The sequence below is a fragment of the Homo sapiens genome, chromosome 11 (genome assembly GCF_000001405.40).
Source record: "Homo sapiens chromosome 11, GRCh38.p14 Primary Assembly".
In the NCBI taxonomy this organism is placed as follows: Eukaryota; Metazoa; Chordata; class Mammalia; order Primates; family Hominidae; genus Homo; species Homo sapiens.
Window position 1 is genome coordinate 64,686,427 of NC_000011.10, and position 23,611 is coordinate 64,710,037.

General features: G+C 50.7%; 1 protein-coding gene across 7 annotated transcripts in view, besides 2 other annotated features; it reads right to left on the reverse strand.

Moving 5' to 3' along the window:
* NRXN2 (neurexin 2) overlaps positions 1 to 23,611 on the reverse strand; it is a 117,024-nt gene that overhangs the window by 80,253 nt on the left and 13,160 nt on the right. For 5 of the 7 annotated variants that reach the window (NM_001376265.1, NM_001376267.1, NM_001376263.1 and 2 more), the window contains exons 3-5: positions 11,349 to 11,366; positions 6,421 to 6,450; positions 3,979 to 4,050 (exon numbers count right to left, since the gene is read on the reverse strand). In NM_001376265.1, the coding sequence (NP_001363194.1) occupies positions 3,979 to 4,050; positions 6,421 to 6,450; positions 11,349 to 11,366 (120 nt within the window). The remainder of the gene's footprint in view (positions 1 to 3,978; positions 4,051 to 6,420; positions 6,451 to 11,348; positions 11,367 to 23,611) is intronic. The other 2 variants (NM_001376266.1, NM_138732.3) reach the window with 2 other exon arrangements.
* Positions 1,414 to 2,334: an enhancer, noted in NCBI's record as "H3K4me1 hESC enhancer chr11:64455312-64456232 (GRCh37/hg19 assembly coordinates)". NCBI's record gives its function as "activates a minimal SCP1, AML or CMV promoter by ChIP-STARR-seq in primed H9 embryonic stem cells {active_cell/tissue: H9 hESC(primed)}" and the evidence as "EXISTENCE:reporter gene assay evidence [ECO:0000049][PMID:30033119]".
* Positions 2,474 to 2,523: an enhancer, noted in NCBI's record as "active region_4907". NCBI's record gives its function as "activates an Ori minimal core promoter by ATAC-STARR-seq in GM12878 lymphoblastoid cells {active_cell/tissue: GM12878}" and the evidence as "EXISTENCE:reporter gene assay evidence [ECO:0000049][PMID:35858748]".

The window sequence follows — 23,611 nt, forward strand, 5'->3', positions numbered from 1 at the left end:
CAATCTCAGTGCCTGGAGACAGTTTCAGCCTCACCATATGGGATGGGACCAATAGGCCTGTTGTGCAGCAAGGAGCAGATGAGGAGAATGGGAGGTGGGGGAATGTGGGGAGGGCCAGGAAGACACACACGAAGGCGATGCAGGTGACAGGGATATGCACCGGATAGCAACAGGCCACCAGGCAGAGCTCACATGGGTGGCCACAGCCCCAGCTATCATCTCCACCCCCAGCTCCCTACTCCAAGCCAAGGACGGCGCAGACAGGCCCAAGATGGAGGGCAAAGAGTGCCTGGATGTGACCTGTGTGTGCCCAGAGAGTAACAGGGCAAGAGCAGGCCTGGGCCTTGTGTGTGTGCATGTCTGTGTGTGTGCATGTATGTCCATAGGCACCCGGCACAGGGCCCTTCCACTGGCACTTTTTAAGCAGAAGCAAAAACTACTGGGAGAGGCTGAGGGATTGTCAGCATTCTGTAAGTTGGTAACAAGTGAGAAGACAATGACTCAGTAGTACCAAGAAGTTGAGGTTTCTGTCCAACACCAGCACAAGCCAGAGTGCAAGCAGAGAGAAGAGAACCGGATATGAAGTCAGGACAAACCAGAGGACCTGGGCTCTACCAGTGGCTCACTTCTGGCCATTAAGCAGTGGCACACAGCTGGCCCTGCCTACCTCACTGGACAGGTGCAGGGCAAACAACACTGGCCGTGAGGGTCTTTATGAAGAGGCCGAGCTAACCAAATGCAGGAATTCTCAATAGATGCTCCCAATGCCCAAGCAAGAACAGGCACAATGCCAGGGTGCATCCAGGGCCACCAGGAAGCACTTGCCTTCCCCTGGTGGAGGCAGGGCTCAGCAGCAGTGCTATGTGTTGAGGCAGTGGGGTGGTGGCGGGGGGGGAGTTTCGGAGTGCAGATTCTGCAGATCCCCTCCCCTCCACACACAGCCTGCTTCTCTCTCTCTAGGCAGGCTGCCCACAGCCTCTGTCCTCACTGCCTCCGGATGCCAAGGCACCAGCTGCTGCCCCAGAGCCTGGCACAGCACTCACTGCAGCTGGCAAGGCCCGGTTTCCTGAGGCCACAGGGCAGCAAGGCTGGTGGGGGCCTGGGCAACATCGGGACAGTCTGAATCCCTTCCTCTGTCTACTTATGGTACCAGCGGGGAGGGCCAGAAAGCAAAAGTGAGGACCCCAGCAGAGACAAGAGGGTAAGGCGGGGAAGAGTGGCAAGGAGGAGGGAAGGAGGGAGGTGGGGCAGAGCCAGGAAAAGGAGAACCATCGCAGAGACAGACAAGAAATGAAGACGGCTCAGGGCTGTGAGGGAGCAAGAAGGGATGAGCGCGGCTATCTGGATAAAGAAAAGGAGCAAGCCCTGCGGGAACAGGTACAGGAGATGGGAAGAGAGCCAGCAACGAAAGTGGACAGGGACCTCTAGGGAACAGAAGCCAAGGCTTTCTGGGGCCTTGCTGTTTCCATAGCAACGAAGCCTGCTGCCCAGGCACTAGGAGAACCAGGGGGCTCAAGGACCAGAAAAAGGAATGTTTGACCTTGGTTTTGCCACATGTACTAGTCCCACCCAGAAGCCATTCCTCCCACTCCCTCACCTTCACTGCAGTCAAAGAAAGTATCATTAAAGAGAGTCAAACAGAAAGAAAGAAAAGAATAAGGCAACCATGTGAGTAAGTGATTGGGACAGAACAAGAGGCCAGCAAAAAGGAAAGAGGCGGGTCTGGGGCTGGACAGTGGCTGCCAAGGCCAAGTGGAGAAACGAGGCCATTTCTCGACTCCTCAGCCCTGCCTCCAGTCTCCTGGGGTGGGTGGCAAAGCTAGCTACTCTGGAGCCTGCGCCTCCACGGGCTCCAGTCCCTTTACCACCGGAGACCTGGGTCAGCCCAGAGACGCCAAGAGGCCTGAGGAGCAGCCAAAGAGAACCTGAAAGCCTTCGAGAAGAGGGACAGAAAAAGAGATGAGCAAGTGTGGAAAGAAAACCCGAAGATGGTGAGGAGAGAGAGAGAGAACCTGAGTAGGGGAGGTCGGAGCATGACTTCAAGGGACTGGTGGAGGGATTCTACTGGGGTGAGCCTGTAGGGGCGGCGGAGGGGCTCAGCAGAGCACAAACAAGATCTGGGCTGAACAAGCCCTGAAGCACCAGGGGGCGCTCTCCCCTATCTCGCCGGTCTGGCGCGACTGGGAACTACAACTCCCAGCAGCGCTTGCACAATTACCGCCCCTAATTGCTCCGGACCGAGAAAGGAAGATAATAGCTGATGCTCGTTTATCTCCCACAGTTGGGGAGTCTGTAGCCCTACAAGTGTCCCCAGTGAATGTGGCTAGAGACTAGTTGTTGTGGTCCTGCATTTCTGAGAACCATGCATGAGGGACAAAGCAGCTGCCTTCTTTCCAGGCCCAGCTCCCAGACCTCCTCTGGGAAGGTCTCCAGCGCCCCCCTCCGCCCTCCCTACTCTCGAGCTCTACAGCTGTCTGTTCTGCTCACTTGGCACTTACTGCCTAATAACATCTTGTACTGCTCCCTGGAGAGGAAATGTGATGTGAGAAAGAAGACCTGGGCGCTAGTGCTGGCTCCACCACCAGCTTTGTGACCTTCGCTGGTCACAAAGCTGGGCTCTAAGTCCCAGCTTCCCCGTCTGGAAAATGGAGCTGATCATCAGGAACTGCACAGGCTGCTGTGGGCACCTCAGAAAGAGAAAGGGTGGGGTCCAGCTTCCTCAACCATAAAGCATCCCACAAATAAACGACTCATGCCAGTTGGTAACTTTCTGCTAGTGTCCTGCCTCTCTCTGTGTCTCCCTCTCTTTCTCAATGATTTTTTTTTTTTTAATGGAGTCTCACCATGTTGCCAGGCTGGTTTTGAACTCCTGGCCTCAAGTGATCCTCCCACCTCGGCCTCTCATAGTGCTGGGATTACAGGCATGAGCCACCGTGCCTGGCCTCAATGAATAAATTAACTCCTCTGAAAAGAGTCTGCACTTTTCATGTACTTTGCATGGACCACACTTTATTGTAGGTGTTAGAACATCAATCAGCCCCTTAGTAACAGAGCCCATTGGCTCATATAAAATAAATTTGCTGAGCACACAGCTACTTATGTGCCAAGAGCTGTGTGAAGCACCGGGGGCATAGGAACAAAAATATCCAATCCCTGGCCTCAAGGAGCTTGGTCTAGTTGGGGAAGCAAACAGGTAAAGTGACAGTTATGATACAGTGTGATGAGCCTTCTAGTGGAAGTGTGGACAAAGTGTGGAAGTGACCAGGTTCACCTGGGGTGTTCAAGGAGACTTCCAGTGTGCATGGCCTGGCTGCTTTTTCAAGAGTCAGACGAAAGAGACACACCAAGTCATTGGGGAGAGGACAAGGATGGCGGAAATCCAGGCAAACAGAAGAGCAGACTAAAGAATGGAAATGGGACTCCATAGCCCCAGTGCTTGGCACCCACTGGAGTTCCTTGAGGACTTGTTATAGTGGCTTGTAAACTTCTTAGGAAAGAGATTGTCTTAAGAAAGGCAGCCTCAGTACAGAAAAAGGAGCTAGAGCCCCCAAGCAGGCTTAAAGGCCCTGTGCTGGCCACAGCTCCCAATCAGAATTTCCCTGGACTGGGCACCTAGCAGGCTTCCAGAATTTGATGGTTAAATTGGGGTTGCCGTGCTGCCTGGTTGCCTTAACAAAGAAACAGATACTTCCTAGGGATCAGCCTGAACAACTGCCACATAAAAAGATACCTGTGTTCTAGAAAGAAGTCATCAGAACAACTGGGCTTTGCGAAAGAAATGGAGGTTTGTGGCCCTTCACATCAGGGCAGCTAATGGGGCCTTTGGAATGGCACTCGGGGAGCAGACCCATCACTTCCCACAGGCCTCAGAGAGGACAAGGGGATGTGCCTGCGTTGACTTGGCTTCCCCCCAGGAAGCACAGTTAGCCTGCAGCAGGATGAGGGCTGGGCTCTCTGGGGACCATGGGGGTCACTGACCTTTTGTTGGCTGGTGCACATCGCCGGCTCCTCCTCTCCCGGCCCCCCCCTCGGAGAACAGTAAGGACCCTACTGGAGAAGCAGAATTGGGGAGTCAGGCACAGGGGGTACCGAGCCAGTCCCTCCCCAGCCTTGAGGGGATGAAGGGCCCTCTCCAGGGTGGAGGTGCTGCTTGCACGGACAGGGGAGGAGAGGCTTTTCTGGGGACTCCCTTGCCTTCAAGACCTCTAAGGAAGGAGCCGCTTGACAAACCGAGGGCGATCAGCCCCACAGACCCCATCAGATTCATGATCACCGACTTCCACTCTTTGCCTGGGGTGGGGAGACTGGGCAGAGGAACAGAGGCCTCACCATGAGTGCAGGATCCCTCCTTCCCCACAGCAGGCAAACAGGCCAGCCCTCAGCACTGGAGGCCCCCAGTTCCCCCTTTCAACTGCTCGCTCATTCTCCTTGCCTCCTCCATGAGGCACATTCTCCCCACCACTCTGCACCTTTGCTCACACCCTTTATGCTGGGTTAAGTTCACACTTCCCAACTCGTTCAAAAGCCTGACGCAGACACCCCCTCCTCCAGAAACTTCTCCAGATTTATATCCCAAGCTCCTCTTCTGTTCTTTCCTGTCCTTGAGGCTCTCACTACACCTTGAGGCCATCCACACCTGCTTCATTCACCACAGTGAGTGCTCGGAAGCTCACCCTTGCCCACTTCTTTGCCAGTTAGACCCTGGAGCTTCCCAGAGATTTCCAGGGGCTTCCTGTAATTCCTGTCTGTTCTTCATCCCACCATTGTGCCTACAAAAGGGCTGTGCAAGTCAAAGGAGATCCTCCCTGGAGCTCAGCCTGGATGTGGGCAAGCCCTTTCTCAGGAGTTATTTCTCACTCCCTACCACCCCACTCATCAGCAGCACTTAGGCCTCAGTCCAAATGCCCCGGTGGGCACATGTTACCATGTCTGGGTTCCAGGCCAGCTCGAATCTTCACCCCACCTCTCCCCGCTCCAGTGAACCTATATACTCAGCACCTGGCTTCCAGGTACCCAGCCCTACTGCCAGATCCACAGGATGGCTTCAGGATGAGAAAACTCAGTGATGAAGGGGAAAAGTCTCTAAATGGGCTCTTACTTCAACCCCAGTTGCAAATCCCCAAACTTGAACTAGAATAATACTTGAGCTGTGGAACTTTCCAGGGGGGCTTTCTGAGATCCTTTGGGAGGGCCTTCACTTATGACAAAGGGGAGCCACAGCCAGCACCCATAGAACCAGGCACTGAGAGGCAAGAAGGATGTGAGTGAACCAACCAGGGTTCCTACTCCTAGCTCTCCATTTGGGACTTCCTCTTTCCCCACACTTCTTGCCATAATTCCACATCCCTGCAAGACTCCAAGGCCTCTACCTCCCCAGACCTAAATCCATCCCAAATTTCATATCTATATGAGTTTCTCCCTGCAGCCCAATCTTGGTCCTGCCTACCGGCTAAGGACCCCACTCTGTTCCTCTGTAAGATGACCCCCCCACAGAGGGCTGAATTGGGCAGGTCCAACAGTGCCAAAGGGTCTGAAAGGCCAAAACCCTGAGCTCAGAGAGAATCAGTGACAGCAGAGGGCTAGAGGAGGCCAGAGCTGGAGGAGCTCAGACAGGACTCCTGAGTTCTGTCTCCAGGTTTGCTTAACACCAGGGCTCTCAAAGATGGTAGGCACTTAGTCAAAGGAGTGCTAAAATTAAATGGCTAGTCCCAACCATACCACCAATAAGGGTTGTGGAATCACTAACAAGTCATTTCATCTCTCTGGTCCTCAACGTCGTCATCTGTCAAACAGGGTTAAGAGACATTCAAAAGATACAAGGGTGAAGGCGTGCGGGTGGGCAGGGGGTTGGGAGCGCACACTGTGGAAACGGAGAGACCCTACACCTCTACTCCCATTTCCCTTCTCGTCATGGATGGGGGCCTCCCACAGTAGCAAGGTGAGGGTGATGAGACTGCCTAAGACCCTCTTTCTCCAGCCCATGCTTTTCTCTTGTTACTTAGGTCCATAGAAAAGAAAGAATGATCAGAATGAGTGGAAGGAAATCAAACACCACCATGAGAAAGAAAAAAAAGCAAGATACACTACCAGGAAAACGCAAAAAAAGGGTGACTGGAGACAACGGCAGGAGTTCAAACATCTCTTGATGTCAGAAACCAAGGTGAGATGTGGGTGGATGGAGTGCTTCAGGGTGGGTGAGGGAGAGGGGAGCACACAGACAAGGGCAAGCCCCCACCCCCACCCCAGCACCCCCCAAATAAAATTAAGAAATGGCAAAGGAAGCGGGTAGGAAAGGAAGGAAGGTGTCAGGACAGGTGGAGGAGGGGAAGGGGACAGGGGAAGGACAGGGAGAAGAACAGAAAATCCAGGCGCAGGTTGGGGGCAATCCAATCCAAACCAAACCAAAACTTCAAACCATACCTTCGCTGTTTAACGTCAGGTGAGCCGGACCTTGGAAAGGGGAAGGAGAGAAAGAAAGAAAGAAAAAAAGAAGAAGAAAAAAGAAAGAAAAGGGGAAAGAAACAAAGAAAACACGAGTCATCAAAATCAGCCAGAGAGAAGGGAGAAAAAAGCTTTTGCTGCCACAATTTAAAAACCTTTTTTAACTTGTGACAGACATCGGGGGGAGCCCCAGCCCAGGAGCTGAGGAGAGGGGCCCGATGCCGAAACAGCGGGTGGAGGGCACAACAGGGGAAGAGAGAAAGAGAGATTAGGGGCGTCAGAGAGGGTGAGAGGGGTACAGGCAGAACTGGAGGAAGGAGGGGGCGGGGGGCACTGCAGCGGGGAGAGGAGATTTTGGTTTCTTTTTTTCTTCTTGCCGGAAAAAAAAAAAGGAAAAGGAGGAGAAGCATTAGGCTAGGAGGGTTGCTTTTTCCTTTTTCTTTTTTTCTTTTTTTTTTTCTTCCGGGAGGCGGAGAGAAAAAAAAACAGTCAACGAGAAAAACGATTCAGATGGAGGAGAAAATAAAACACGACACAAAAATCAAAGCCACCTGGAGAGAGAGAGAGTGTCCTGTTAGCATGGGATTAAGCGGGCAAGGGGGCCTCCAACCCCCCAACACCCCTAATCCCAGTTACCCCTAGGATGCTGGTAGAAAAGGGGGAAAGATGGGGGGATATAAAGAACCTGGGCCTAAAAGCATCCCCCACTAAAGCGGGGTTTGGAAGGACACCTGTTGGGTTCTAATCCTCCCAGCTACCCTTCCCAATAACCTCTGTAGGGGTAGTAGGGACCCTGCACACCTGGGTTCTAAGAGGAAACTGGGGTTCAAGAGGACAAAATTAGAGAGGAAGCAGGTAGGAGAAGGTAGAATCTACAGAGACACTGAGAGACTGGGGTCAGAGCTCTCAGACAGCAAGGTCCAAAGAGGACAGCCGAGCCCTATGGGAGGAAGCCCAGCTCTCTGAAAGGTCCAAGTACATCATTCATAAATTACAGACCCCCTTTCTCTGACCAGGACCTCTCTCAAATGACCCAAAAGCTGGATTTTGAAAATAGAAAATGGACTGATAGGAAGACCAGCTAGGATTTCCATCCAGGATTACACTGGCCCCTTGAGACAGCCTTGTCAGCCCTAACCCAAAGTACCCCTCCCCAGCCTTAGTGGGAAGGAATCTGGCCCACTGGATCAGTACCCTTGTCCCCAACAGGCACCAGCCAAGGAAAGCTCTCTCCTAGAGAGGCTGGCAGCACCAGGCCCCACAGCTGGGCTGAGACCCCAGGGCTTCCTGAGATGGCCAGCCAGCTCCACCAAACCTCAGAGCCCCCCCAGCCCCACTCACTCCCCTGTGGTGTCTGGCCAAGAGGGTAGGAAGGGGAACAGCCCTGCAGTGCCACTGTCACCCTTGGAAACCAGCCCCACTGCTGTGGCAATGAGATGTGAACCCTAGGGATAGAAAGCTGGGGCCAGGATGGAAGTAGCAAGGTTAAAGAGTTACAAGTATTTCTGAGACGAAGCTGGGGGCCAGGATGCCTGGATTCTAAGAGGAAAGGCAGTGAGGAGGACAGGAAGGACATGGCCAGGGGCCAAAGGCCTGGACCCCGTGGCAGATGGTTCACATTGCCCTCTTTGCCCCATGTCTCTAGGGTGGCACTGGTTTCTCCCCACCTCTGAGTCTGAGGCCACTTGGAGGAGGAGGCCACAGCCGCTGAGGGCAGCCTCAGGACTGAACAGCTCTTGGGAGGATGTAGGTTTTTATCCATCACACAGGTAAGGACCCAAGCATTTGAACCGAGTCTCCTCATTCCTTACTCTGAATACCCTCCTACTCTGCCACCAACCCTTTCCCCAAAAACTACCAGCATCTCCTTCCAAACCCCCTAAACCCAGGACCCAGACCCAGAGCCCTCAACCCACATCCGACTCTCCCGGTCAGAAGCAGCCTTGCTCTCAGGATCCCACCCTTGAGAATCCAGGTCTCTGCCCACCCCCAGCCCAGGAGCCAGGTGCCCTGTGAACCCACCCTCTGTCTCCCACAGGCCTGACTGCTGCTGGAGGAAGCCACATCTCCCTCTCCCAGACCCTTCCACTGCCCAGCTCCTCGCCAGCCTCGTTAGCATTCGGCAGTCTCCCTCTGTCACCACGGCAACCAGCTGCTCAGCTCCCTCAGGCGTGACAGCACCAGCCATCTTGGTGAAGGGGAGGCTGGTTCCCTTCCTGTCTACCCCTGGCTCAGTCCCAGCTGGCCCCAGGGTTTTCTCCCTAAAGTCTGTCTCCCCACTAATCTGAAATCTCTGCTCCCTCCTCCTGGCCCCCAGCCCCACTGGGGTATTCACTTCCCCACATCCACCTGTGGCATCAGCCCCTCCTCCCACTGCTGGAAAAGAGACTGGCAATGATGGATGGCATTGCCATGGGTCCCTTCCTAGGGCACTTTATCTGGCTACTTCTGGGTCTCTTTGCCCTGCCACTAGAGGCTGGGAGGAAAAAGGAGGTGTTCGGCAGGGGTGCAGAGCAGGATCTTGGGGTTCCTGGAGAAAGCTAGGCCTCAGGCACAGTGTCAAGTGGGAAGAAGGCGAAGGTACAGAGGACTCCTTAGAGATATAAGGAGGGCTGCAGGGTCCAGAGCACAGTGCCACAGAGGAGGCCGCCAGCCCAGCCACGTGGAACCACCACCTGCTAAACCCACCTCCCCATCTTCAGTCTCATCCCCTAACTCTCCTACTGAAACCCCAGAGAGAACCACCATCGAAATAAAGATGGTGATAGGTGACCAAATTAAGAGACACACAAGCAGGCACACAGACATGTCTCAGAGTGACACAGAGATGTGTCAGACTCCTAGGTGTGTATACACACACGCGCACACACACACACACAGCCTCCAATACACAGCCCTGCACAGCCACTGACATGCAGGCATCCACAGTGCCACATCTAAACCAGCAGACCACCATGCCACCCAAAGAAATGGCGAGGTGGCGTCCACAGGCCTCCTTCCCCATGGGTCCCCAAAGCCCAGCTTCCCTTCTTGTTCCTGTCTATCAGCCCCTTTCCTCTTCCCTACTCCCACCAGACTCCTTCTTCCCAAGTGCCCCCCTGCCTTTCTTCTTTTGGCCAAGCTGTTCCCCGTTCCTGCCCCACCCCCTACAGCTTGAGGCTTGAGTCTTTCTCTTCCCACCCTTCACTTACCCCCTCTCCTTCCTCCATCTCTCTGCTCCCTCCTTTTTTCTCTCCTCCACCCTTTTTTCCCTTTCTCTCTTCCTCCCTCCATCTCACCCTTTGTTCCGGAGGAGACATGACATCAAGAGCAAGTAAAAGTCACATCAACACTAAATCTTATCTCCAGCCCTCAGAAGGCTGCGTCCACCCAGACACGCAGACTCTCTCTGTGACACACACGCAGAGGTAAACACTGACACACGGAGATGCAAACACAGATGCAGACACACAAAGATGCTGATGCTCTACATAGGCATACAGAAATGTGGGCCACACCACATATGCATCGATGGAGGCGCACAGCACACCCATGCACTCAGACACAAAACCATGTTACGTGTACACAGCATATATCCTCAGGCGTGCACACAGACACACAGACCAGCAGAGTTGTATAAATGTATGTGTATGCAGACATACATACCCACACATACATACATACACACACACACACACACACACACACACACACACACCTGCCTGCTGGGCCCTGGGGACCTGAGGACCCCCAGGGAAAAGAGACATCCAAGAGAGACAAGTCAGACCATGGACATCACGAGGAAAAATGGGTTCCAGCCCCACACTCAGGCCAAGAGCCTCTTGCTGCCTTTCTTTCCCAGGACTACTGCATCCCTGGCACTTTCCTCTCCTCCTCCCCAGGGACGCCCTTGCCCTCCCACTCCACCTTCCCAGGAGAAGGGACTGGGATGCCACCTCATGCCTGCTCTGCTGCCTTCTTCATGGTAGCTATGTGAGCTCATCTTCAACACAGCCTTCAAGCCAGGACTACCTTCTTCCTGCTCTCAGTCCATCCCAGAGGAGGAGAAGAAACAGGGAAAGCCAAATTGCAAGAGAAAGATTCAGAGAATGACAGAAACCCAGAGAGAGCCTGGGGAAGGAGAGACACATGGTCCAGGGACAGAGTCTTGGAGAAAAGGAGGTAAAGACAGAAACTGGAGAGGGAGAAGAGGCCAACAAAACAGGAGATAAAGAAAGAACATACAGAGAGACCTGAGAGAGAGGCACACACCCCACCCTTGCCCTCCGACCTGGATGAAGGAAGAAGCAGCCCACCCCTACCTAGCAACCTGTGGGGCAGCAGCTAGGGGCCTGCCGCAAGTGGCAAGTGCTGGTCACAGTGGGGCAGAGAAGCTGCTCCCACTATACACCTCCAACCCCCTACTCTGCCAGTGCACTCCACCACCCTCCAGTCCCCTGAGCCCTGCACAGTGGCACCAGATTCCAGGGCAGATTTTCCCCAAGCACAGGTTTCTGGGGCAACAGCCCACCCCAGCCTGCCCCAGCATCTGGAAAATTGCCTTTCTAAGCTTCCTAACTTAGGCTGGGCTAAACGTTGTCTACCCACTCACTTCTGGGCACTTCGGAATCCTGTCAGCCCCATCCCTCCACCCCCACCGCTCATCTCTTCCCTAAGTTTCCCTTTCCCTCTCCAGCGTGGAGAGGGAAAGGAAGAAGAAAGGCCAGTCAGCAGCTCCCCCGAAACTCATGAAGAGGGGACGCAAGAGAGTGGGGCAAGGCAGCCAAGGGAGGACCCCAGACATCCTTCTCCGGAGAGGCCCTAAACATGGCAGGAAAGGGAGTCCTTGGGTAGCCAACGACAGTCCCTCATGTAGGATCCCCATGGCAACAGATCCACTACCCCAGTGACAGAGAGGCTTCACTCACCTTCCATGGGGTGCTCCTCTGCAGCCAGCGAGGTTCGGAGAAGACGGAGGCAGAGAGAGAAGAAAAAGGAGGGCTGTTAGCAAAGGTACCACGGACAGGGGCTCCAAGGGGAGAGAGGAGTCCAAGCCCACCCAGGCCCTGACATGAGTCACCCAATGTGGAAGGCCCAAATCTCAAGAAACAGCTATGTTGGGGATGAGGCAGACACAGAGCTGCTCCCTGAGTCAGAACCTCACACACAGTCAGCCAGTACCCATCACACCCAACCCTCAAGTAACATTTCAGGAAACCGAGGCCCAGGACAGGGAAGTAACCACTCAAGGTCACACAGAGAATCTGAGGCAGGGCCAGGAGTGGCAGTCAGGCTTCTCAACTTCCCCAGAGAGGCTCCTACCCTGCATTCCATTGCATCTCACAGACAGATGGGGACACACTCACACCACTAATTGTCTCACAGGGTTCACTAGAGACACACTCATGCTCAGTGACACACTGACACACATAGGCACTTAGCAATCCAGTGACACACACTGTCTCACACAATTCACATATAAAGCCCCTGCACACAGGACCCAACCACCTACGGCCCCTGACCCTCCCAGGGGTGAAAAGACATCAAGACACAGAGAGAACAAACATGATTCTGCCACACAGCACTGTGTGACTTTCATCCTATTCACTTAACCTCTCTGAGTCCCTACTGCCTCTTCTGCAAAATGAGAGGGGTGGACTGGATAGTTTCTGAGGCCTCTTCTGACTCTGATTCTGATTCTAGGACAAATGTCTTCTTAACATCTGGATGAGGCCAAGGGCCCCCAGGCTGGATGGCCATGCCAGTGGGGGAAGAGAGTCCAAATTCAGTGGGCCACACTGGGCCCAGACCTAGACCATGCCACATCCTTTGGATAGGCAGACCTCACCTATTAGGGCCCTGCCTGGATCTGGCCTTGGAGCTCACCAAATGGGTCAAGGGAGAAGATGGAACAACGAGAAGATGGAGACAATTCCTTCAACTAAGCTACAACTCCTCAAGCAGGTTGGGCTCTGATCTTCTTTGTAAGAGGATGGAGGTGCCCCCAGCTCCAAACATTTGCCATGTGCCCACCTCCTGGGAGCCTTTAGATGAAGCAATAGGCAGGAGGGGGAAAACAGCACAATCTACAAACACACAAACCCAGTGGGGAAACACATACTTGCATATGCAGGCCCCAGGATACACACTTATGTACACACAGCTATCCAGTTCACACTCACGCATGCACACATTATCTCCTCCTACCTCCAACCCCATTTGGTGATATCTGTTCATTCGCTCATAGAGAGGTAGCTATACTCTGAAAACAAACATAGTCATTTGTCATACCTTATACCACTCCCATAATCCACGCACATACACAGGCTGAATGCAAGCACCAATACCTACACAGTAATCTACTACATAACACTAGACACACACACCACCACCCCACAGTGACTCCAGTGGCTAAAGCCATACAGCCAGCGATGAACACAGCTCTTTATCTCCCATTTCCTAAACCTACATACACAGTCTTTCCATGTCAACATGTGTTACAAACACACTCCTCTACAACACAGAGCTGCTTCTACCTGACAGCTGCATCACCTAAAAGATACATGTCTAATAGTTTTCTTTTTTTTTTTTTTTTTTTTTTGAGATGGAGTCTTGCTCTTGTTGCCCAGGCTGGAGTGAAATGGTGCGATCTCAGCTCACCGCAACCTCCACCTCCCGGGTTCAAGTGATTCTCCTGCCTCAGCCTCCGGCATGCGCTACCACACCCGGCTACTTTTTGTATTTTCAGTAGAGATGGGGTTTCTCCATGTTAGTCAGGCTAGTCTCGAACTCCCAACCTCAGGTGATCTGCCCGCCTCGGCCTCCCAAAGTGCTGGGATTACAGGCATGAGCCACAGTGCCCAGCAATAGTTTTCTTAAGTAAACTGAATCACATTTCATTTATGGGGGGAGCTGGCTAATAAAGGGGCCCTCAGGAAACCCTTTGGCTCTCGTGAAGACTGCTGTGCCAGGATTTCTTTGGTCCCAGTATGCTAAGACCCTGGTCAGTCAGCACAATTGTCTCACCAGCACCTGTGCAAATAAGGAGGCATGGTGATTTCTAGATAATCCAACATGGTAGGTATTTCAAAAAGTATTTCCACCTGCCAGAAATGTACGTCATGCTATGCTCAGGAAGGTGAAACAACCAGGCTTGGTTTGTTTCTGGCTTTTGAGAGACAGCACCTAGAAACTCACATATCTCTCTTCCTCTGCTGCTCTTTGCTTTCTGCTGATTCACCTATGCCCCTCACCTGCCACCTCAGTCCCCTTCAGGGTTGGCCCCTGCCCTCCACATTCCTCTTACTTCTCCTCGCTCTCCTCAGTGATGGCTCATTTTCGTGCTCAGAGACTCCCAAACCATGGGTAGTCCCGGCCTCCTCCCTGAGTACCAGTCCTGTATCACCATGTGTCCACCCAGCAGTGCAATTGCTCGTCCAACTCTCTGACATCTAAACTCCACCACTGAAGCCATTCTCGACACCTCCACTCCTACAACCAAGTGCTTATTCCCCTGTGCTTAGCAAAGCCCCTGCTTTCAACCAGTGCTGCCTGAGCTCCCACTACATGCCCCACACTGCCCTCATAGGTTCCAGAGATTCCATTAGTTAGCCATGTGCTGGGCACCGTACTGACCCTCACATGCAATATCACACATCAGCCTCACTGCAACACAGAGCTCGGTGTTATCTATCGACTCTGTACAGAGAAGAAAACACACCCAGGAGCACAGAATCACTTTTGCCCTTCTCCACTGCAATCCTAGGTCATCGTAGCCTCTGGCCTCACTCCTTGTGCCTGGTTTCCTGCAATAGCTTCCTCTTGGTCAGTCTCCCTACCCATCCCCAGCCTGACCCTCTTGGCAGAGGTAACAGATACGCCTTACTAAATACCGCTGTGATGAGAACCTTTCAGTGTTTCTGATACAAACCTCTCTCCTGTGCTCTTGACCTATGTACCCATCTGTCTTTAGAGCCGCTGTCTCTGAGTGTCTCATGGGCTTCTCACATTCAATATGTCTAGGGTGGGCCTCATAACCCTCTCCTCACCCCACCAAATTCCCTGATCAAGTTAGGCACCCAGAAAGCACCTGCTCCTTTTGTCAGGCCAATCACCGGGTCCTACTGGTTCCACCTTCTAAAACCCTAAAAACAAAACTAAACTCCTAGAAATCCTTATCATCCCTCCATTTCCACCGGCACCGCCCAGGCCAGGCCCTGGTGAGGCCAGGCCCTGATCAGTCCCTCTCCTTGGAACATTAATAAGCCTAGGAGATGATGCCCTCTACCGCCACTCTTTTCACCCTGAAATTCATACACCGCAGCACAACAAAGTGGTCCACTCCAACCATGTTACGACCCTGCTGAAAACTCTTCAAAGCTTTTCAGTGCCTGTAGGTTAAAGTCGAATCTTCTCAGAAAATCCCATCCGAAATTTGACTGTTTCTTCCTCTAACCTCTTTTCCTGCGACAATCCAGGCTGCAGCCACCCCAACTTCTTCCTGTTTCTATAATATGCTATGTTTCTGCACATAATATTTCTTGTGCTTGAAATACTCTTCACCTACAGCTGGCTAAGAAAATCTACTCTTTCTTTAAGACCCAAGTCAAGGGCTAGCTACAATGGTTCGCGCCTATAATCCCAGCACTTTGGGAAGCCACGGTGGGAGGATCACTTGAGCCCAGGAGTTTGAGACCAGCCTGGGCAACATAGGGAGACCCGTCTCTACAAACAAACGCAAAAATTAGCCAGATGTAATGGCTCGTGTCAGTACTCCCAGCTACTTGGGAGACTGAGGTGGGAGAATCACTTGAGCCTGGGTGGTCAAGGCTGCAGTGAGCCATGATGACACCACTGCACTCCAGCCTGGACGACGGAGAAGACTTTGCCTAAAAAAAAGAAATAAATAAGCCCCGTCCGGGGGGGAAGTGGGGGGATCAGCCCCCCGTCCGGCCAGCCGCCCCGTCCGGCAGGTGAGGGGCGCCTCTGCCCGGCCGCCCCTACTGGGAAGTGAGGAGCCCCTCTGCCCGGCCAGCCGCTCTGTCCGGGAGGGAGGTGGGGGGGGTCAGCCCCCCGCCCGGCCAGCCGCCCCGTCCAGGAGGGAGGTGGGGGGGTCAGCCCCCCGCCCGGCCAGCTGCCCCGTCCGGGAGGGAGGTGGGGGGGGTCAGCCCCCCGCCTGGCCAGCCGCCCCGTCCGGGAGGTGAGGGGTGCCTCTGCCCTGCCGCCCCTACTGGGAAGTGAGGAGCCCCTCTGCCCGGCCAGCCGCCCGTCCGGGAGGTAGGTGGGGGGGTCAGCCCCCCACCCGGCCAGCCGCCCCGTCCGGGAGGGAGGTGGAGGGGTCAGCCCCCCGCCGGGCCAGCCGCCCCGTCCGGGAGGTGAGGGGCGCCTCTGCCCGGCCGCCCCTACTGGGAAGTGAGGAGCCCCTCTGCCCGGCCACCACCCGTCTGGGAGGTGTACCCAACAGCTCATTGAGAACGGGCCATGATGACAATGGCGGTTTTGTAGAATAGAAAGGGGGGAAAGGTGGGGAAAAGATTGAGAAATCGGATGGTTGCCGTGTCTGTGTAGAAAGAGGTAGACATGGGAGACTTTTCATTTTGTTCTGTACTAAGAAAAATTCTTCTGCCTTGGGATCCTGTTGATCGGTGACCTTACCCCCAACCCTGTGCTCTCTGAAACATGTGCTGTATCCACTCAGGGTTGAATGGATTAAGGGCGGTGCAAGATGTGCTTTGTTAAACAGATGCCTGAAGGCAGCATGCTCCTTGGGAGTCATCACCACTCCCTAATCTCAAGTACCCAGGGACACAAACACTGCGGAAGGCCGCAGGGTCCTCTGCCTAGGAAAACCAGAGACCTTTGTTCACTTGTTTATCTGCTGACCTTCCCTCCACTATTGTCCTGTGACCCTGCCAAATCCCCCTCTGCGAGAAACACCCAAGAATGATCAATAAAAAAAAAAAATTAGAAAAAAAAAAAAAGAAAAATAAATAAATTAGCCAGACATGGTGGTGTGCGCCTGTAGTCCCAGCTACTCAGGAGGTTGAAATAGAGGATCATTTGAGCCCAGGAGTTTGAGGTTACAGTGAGCTATGATCACACCACTGCACTTCAGCCCAGGTCTCTAAAAAAAAAAAAAAAAAAAAAAAGAAAGAAAGAATTAAAAAAAAAAGATCCAGGTCAATACACATTTGTCTCTGTTCTAAACAAAGGAGAGCTAGCCTTCCTCTTTTGTGCCAACTCTAGAAATGTACATTCTATTATTAATTATCTTATTGAATCTCTATTGCATCTGTGTTAACATGTCTGTTTCCTGACTTGACTGTGAAATATCCAAAAGTGAGGACAATGCCTCATTCATCTCTCTATATCCAGCTGCTTACATGGCTCCTGGCTCAGAAAAAAAGGCATTCTCCTGTTTGTTGAGTGAATAATAAAAATAACACTTTGCATATACTGAGCACTTAGGGTGTGCCTGGCTCTTTACGCCCATTGTTCCTTTACCCGCCACTGCTACATTGTGAATGGATATTACTATCACTCCCTTTTAGAGCTGAAGAAACCAAGACTCAGAAAGTAGGAGTAACTTGGCCAAGGTCACACTGCTAGTTAGTGACAGTCAAAATTTGAACCCAAATCTGTCTGGTGAAAACTTCCAGTGGGCTACGTGCTTAGCCTGGAAGTCAAGACTTCTAGAAACTGATTCTAATCTAAGGTTCTGATCTTATCTACCATAAAACACAACCAACTTTGTCTCTTCATCATGTCCTGACCCACTCAATTCACATCCCCTGTATTCCTCATGTAGGCTACTCTCCTGGTGGGAAAGCCCTGCCCTTTCCTTTCCACCTCTATAACTCACACTCAGTCATCCTTCTTCAAGGTCTGGCCAAGTCCCACCTCCTCCTTGAAGCCTTCCCTGACCACTAGAGCTAATAACCATAGTACCATTTATTGATCACTCAGAATAGTGCCTGGATTGTAAAGGATTTTCGTATATTAATTCACTTAGTTCTTACAACGATATTACTTCCATCTTACAGAGTAGGACGTTGAAGAACAATGTGGATAAGTTAACTGCCCAAGTTCACACGGCTAACAAGTAGCAAAGCTAGGTTCAAACCATGGCAGCCTATGCTCTTACCCATTTTGCCATCTTTACGTAGGGGCATCTAGCTTGTCTCTGGGTCTGAGAGCAACTGCTGTCTATACCACCCTCTAGAGAAGCCTGTCCCATTCTACCTGGAGCCACTTCTACTCACAGAAACTGTCAGGACCACAGGTACTGGATGTTAGAGCTGACAGAATAACCCAACATAGGTGATTTCATTTGCTTAACTTTCAGACACAAGACTTCACTCCCCCAGCAGAAGACAGAGATGGTGTCATAGATGGTATGTCTTGCCTAACATGTCAGGATTCCAGCAGATTGATGATCAAGGACAGTGATGAAGACCAGAACAAAAGGGAAAAGAAAAGACTCTAAACAGCCAAAACATGCATCTAACACCCGGGCAATTAAGAATTGTTATTTTCTGGCTACTCTACACACACTGCCTAGAAGGTAGCCTTGCTCTATAGGAGTCATGGAGCTGTAAAACTGCATCCTTAATAAAGCTACTTCTACAAAAACGAAAAAAAAGAACTGTCATTTTCTCATAGGACCTCTCAGGCCCTAGCCAGAGTCCACCTACTGTTAGTGACACACAATTCTAACAGCAATTCCTAACTTAGGAATGCTGATTTCCAGGTTCACACACACACACACACACACACACAGAGAGAGAGAGAGAGAGAGAGAGAGAGAGAGAGAGAGAGAGAGAGAGATGTCAGTTGCTACCTGACAGCTCCTCCTACGGGTGGAGACAGAAAAACTAGAAAAAGCTAATATAAGAATTCAGAAGTACAGCAGTCAGGCATCATCTCAGGCAGGGACAAACCTCAGTGAAAGAACCACTGCATGACAGTTTGGCATAATACCTGAGGGGAATCACGACCACCTTGAGTCATCTGAAAAAAGTTAAATCAAGTTCCAGCTATTATGCTTAGGGAGGCAGAGAGGTGTGTAACACATTGTGAAGAGATTTCCATCTAAAATGTGTTAAATGTGGGTTAGTTGTGTGTTTTAATAGGATAATGCCCTGCTCTCTGGGATGGGTTCCTCTCCAAGGACTTGGAAAACTGAGATTTTCCTGATCTATCTCCATCGACCTTTCTCTGTGCTGGGACAGCTGACCCACAAACACAGGAACACCCTCAGCACACACTAGCTTAAGGGAGAAGGTGTGGCCCAAGGAATTTAGGGTAGTTACTGGTTTCTGATAAAACCTTGTCCCTAAATAGCCCAAATAAACCAAATGCAGGTAATCAATAGACCAACTGACCAGCTCTCCTTTCAGGAGGCAGCATGGAGACAGGTAGGGAGCAACAGGCTCTTGAGTCAGCTCAGGGCTCAGATCCCAGCTCTTACATCTCTGAGCCTCTCTTTGACCCTCTGTAAAATGGAGAAAGTTATTCTCATGTGGTGATCATGAGGACTAAATGGGATAAAACATCGAAGACACCCAGCAAATGCTCAATAGCTGCGAGTCCCCCCTCTCTCCTCCCCCGACCTTGTGATCCAATTCTCTGTGTTCCAATTGCTCCTTTGCTGGGTCTGCGGCCACTACTGCTCTTCCTCCTCCTCCCAGCTGTCTGCCCCTCTGAAGTCTTGTGCTCAATTTTTCTCACCTTCTCCTTGGCCACTTCATCTGATCTCAGAGCTTCAAATACTATCTCTACACACACACAGCTCCATCTGCAGCCCCAGCTTCAACTCAAAGCTCTGGTCTCACATTCCCAATCACCTGGAATGTCAAGAGGCACCACCACTTAACACAAGCATGATCTATTGTGCCAAGCCTGCTCCCCTTCCTGGCATTCCCCTCTCCTCTCACCCCTCCACCAAACTTCCAACCGTGCAGACCTGAAACTTCATCATCTCTGACCCCTCTCCTCCCACTCCACATCCAAGAGGAAGAATCCTACAGTTTCAGGCTCAGCAATGGCCTTCAATCACTGCCACCACAACTGCCACTACCCTTCCTTGCCACTCCCCAAGACAACCAAGGCTCAGGGCCTCAATATCTCTTGTGTGACCTATCTCCCAATTGATTTCTTCACTACATAACTCTATAATCCCTCTGCACTTCACTCCCAGCTCCCTAAGTACAGCACTTTTATATATATATATAATATATATAATATATATTATATATATAAAGTATATATATATAATATATATAATATATATTATATATATAAAGTATATATATATAATATATATAATATATATATAAAATTATACTTTAAGTTTTAGGGTACATGTGCACAATGTGCAGGTTAGTTACATATGTATACATGTGCCATGCTGGTGTGCTGCACCCAAATAACTCGTCACTTACATTAGGTATATCTCCTAATGCTATCCCTCCCCACTCCCCCCACCCCACAACAGGCCCCGGTGTGTGATGTTCCCCTTCCTGTGTCCAAGTGTTCTCATTGTTCAATTCCCACCTATGAGTGAGAACATGCGGTGTTTGGTTTTTTGTCCTTGCGATAGTTTGCTGAGAATGATGGTTTCCAGCTTCATCCATGTCCCTACAAAGGACATGAACTCATCTTATCCATTTCCCTCCCCAAAATTCTTTTGTGGCTCCATTTGCCAATACACTGTACCCAGTTAGCATTCAATGTGAGTTAAATAATTTAAGCCAGATCATCAAGACCTGGCCTCAACCTGCTTCTCCTGCTTTAGGTTCTACTATTCTCCCTATACCCCTTGGTGCCCTCTACAGATATGATGTACATTTCCCTGTGTCCATGCCTTTGCTCATATCAGCTCCTTTGCTTCAAACGACTTCCCCCAACCAAGTTTATTAATCAATGTTCGAGGCCAATTGTAAACAGCATGCCTTTCATAAACCTATTACTGATCCCCTCAACTTGGAAACTCTCCCCTGCACTTTGCTTGTAAGAGTAACTACCATTTACTCATCACTAATTTTATACAGCAGATGCTAATTTAATTCTTACAACAAACCTATGAGATAAGCATGTGTATCCCCATTTTTTTTTTTTTTTTTGAGACAGAGTCTTGCTGTGTCAGCCAGGTTGGAGTGCAGTGGCGCGATCTCAGCTCACTGCGACCTCCACCTCCTGGGTTCAAGTGCCCAGCCATGTATCACCATTTTATACATAAAGAAAAATGGGTCAGGTGCGGTGGCTCACACCTGTAATCCCAGCACTTTGGGAGGCCAAGGTGGGCGGATCATGAGGTGGGTGGATCACGAGGTCAGGAGATCGAGACCATCCTGGCTAACATGGTGAAACCCCGTCTCTACTAAAAATACATTAGCCAGGTGTGGTGGCGGGCGCCTGTAGTCCCAGCTACTCAGGAGGACGAGGCAGGAGAATGGCGTGAACCCGGGAGGCAGAGCTTGCAGTGAGGCAAGATCACGCCACTGTACTCCAGCCTTGGAGACAGCGAGACTCCGTCTCAAAAAAAAAAAAAAAGAAAAATGAGTCTAAAGGTTAGGTACTCACCTAATGTCATGGGCCTAGGGAGTAGAGAAGACAGATTTAAACCCAGACCAGAGCCACAGAAGTCTGTGGTTTAATCACTAAGCCACACTGCTTTACTGCATCTCTGGGCCACACACTATTGTGCTGTTTTTTTGCTACTATGTATTGAGCATTTTCTATGTACCAGGCACTGTTCTAAGCACTTTACATGAACTAGCTAATTTAATTTTCACAACAACTCTATAAAGTAGGTACCATTATTATCTTCATTTATAGATAAGGAAATGGGGGCAAAGAGAGTTTAAGTATAAAGTCACTGCCTGGGCAGTCTGGAGGCAGAATCTCTTAACAACACACTGGACAGCTTTTTTATCTGCTTCCTCAATTTAATAGTCAACTCCCAGACTGGGTGTGGTGGCTTACACCTGTAATCCCAACACTTTGGGAGGCCAAGGCAGGCGGATCACCTGAGGTCAGGAGTTCAAGACCAGCCTGACCAACATGGAGAAACCCCATCTCTACTAAAAATACAAAATTAGCCAGGCGTGGTGGTGCATGCCTATAATCCCAGCTACTATGGAGGCTGAGGCAGGAGAATCACTTTGCTTGAACCCGGAAGGCAGAGGTTGTGGTGAGCCAAGATTGTGCCATTGCACTCCAGCCTGGGCAACAGGAGCGAAACTCCGTCTCAAAAAAAAAAAAAAAGTCAACTCCCAGAGCACAGAGTCATCTTATTCATCTCTGACCACACTGTAGCCCCCAACACACAGCCTAGCACAAAAGAGGCCTTGGCAACTACCTGTTGAATTAAATCACTATCACAAAACACATGAGACACGTGTGTCTACCTCCCTGCAAGCACACACATTACGACTAGTTTCCTATTTTTCTCCTGAGCAAATAGTATACACCTGACACTCTGTCCTGAACACCTGCATCATCACTCCACCTGAGGTCTCACACACATGCCTGCACATCCCTTCTTCTTTAATCCCTTTTTAGCCCCTTCTCCACACACACAGGTGACATGAGGAAGCACTGTCATGCAAACCACTGCAAGATCCCAGTCTACTCTATCCCAGCTTTGGCAGATAATCAGCAACGGTAGACAGACTCAGCCACTCCCACTGAGCTCTGTCTTCAATTACGTGTGGCCAGATCTCTGAGAGAGAGAGAGAAAATGCAAATTTCCTAGCATGGAGGTTCTCCGTCAATGAGTAAGCCCAGACCCTGGGAGAGCAGGAGGGATTCCAAAGGATACACAAATTCGTATGCACACCAAACATCTGAAGGCAGATTGAAACATCTTGCATATAAAGCTAAAACCATTTTTCTAATGTATATTTTATTAACCACAATGGCAAATATAATATCAAAGTCATCTAAAAGCTTTTCCAAATTCACAGTGGCTTTGAGTCATTTATACTCACACTAAACAGATATAAAAATAATAACTGGAAGGGGTACTGTGAATTACTGACTTTTAAAAATGTCCTCAGTTGGCCAGGCGCAGTGGCTCACACCTGTAATCCCAGCACTTTGAGAGGCCAATGCGGGCGGATCACTTGAGGCCGGGAGTTCGAGACCAGCCTGACCAACATGGTGAAAACCCGTCTCTACTAAAAATACAAAAATTAGCTGGACATAGTGGCGGGCGCCTGTAATCCCAGCTACTCAGGAGGCTGAGGCAGGAGAATCGCTTGAGCCCAGGAGGTGGAGATTGCAGTGAGCTGAGATCGTGCCATCGCACTCCAGCCTAGGCACAGAGCGAGACTCCATCTCAAAAAAAAAAAAAAAAAAAAAAAGTCCTCAGTCTCAGAAAGAGTTGGGAACCATTCACAACAGATGATAAAGTGATTATAACTCCAAGGAAGCCTGGGGATTCTGACCCCTAGAGTTGTGTCAGAGAGCAGGAGCCAGGCCTGCTCCCCTTAAAGTCTTCCTTCCTCACCCCAATACCCAACCATGGGAGCCCATGCCTTTCCTCCTTGACTGGATGAGAAAGTACTCGAAGTATAATGAGCACAAGATATTATAAAAGCTACCTAGGAAATAAGGAACAAATAGAAGAAGAAATGAGGTTGCAGAGTGGGGAGAGAAAAGAAGGGAATCAGTAGGGTTATTGCTGTGCCTGTCATCTCCAGATGCAATCAGTGCCTACAACCCCCATGCCCACCCACAACATATATCTGAAAATATATACATACATGTTTTCATATGTACATACAGCTTTGCCTCAAGCCTTTATTCTCTCAATTACTTATTAATATCTCTCCATTCATTCCACAAATCTTTATCAAACACCCACTAAGTGCCTGGTACCAGATTAGGTGCTGGGAATACAGAAATGAATAAAGACACAACCCTCCCCCTTTACCACAAAGCACTGCTCTCTCAACAGATACCACACACACATCACACACACTCCACATATACACAAGCAACCCTGCCCCTACCAGCTGGCGCCCGCCTTATATCTCACTTTCCCTTTTCTTCTTCCTTTTTTTTTTTTTTTTTGAGATGGAGTCTCACTTTGTCACCCAGGCTGGAGTGCAGTGGTGCCATCTCAGCTCACTGCAACCTACACCTCCCAGGTTCAAGCAATTCTCCTGCCTCAGCTTCCCAAGCA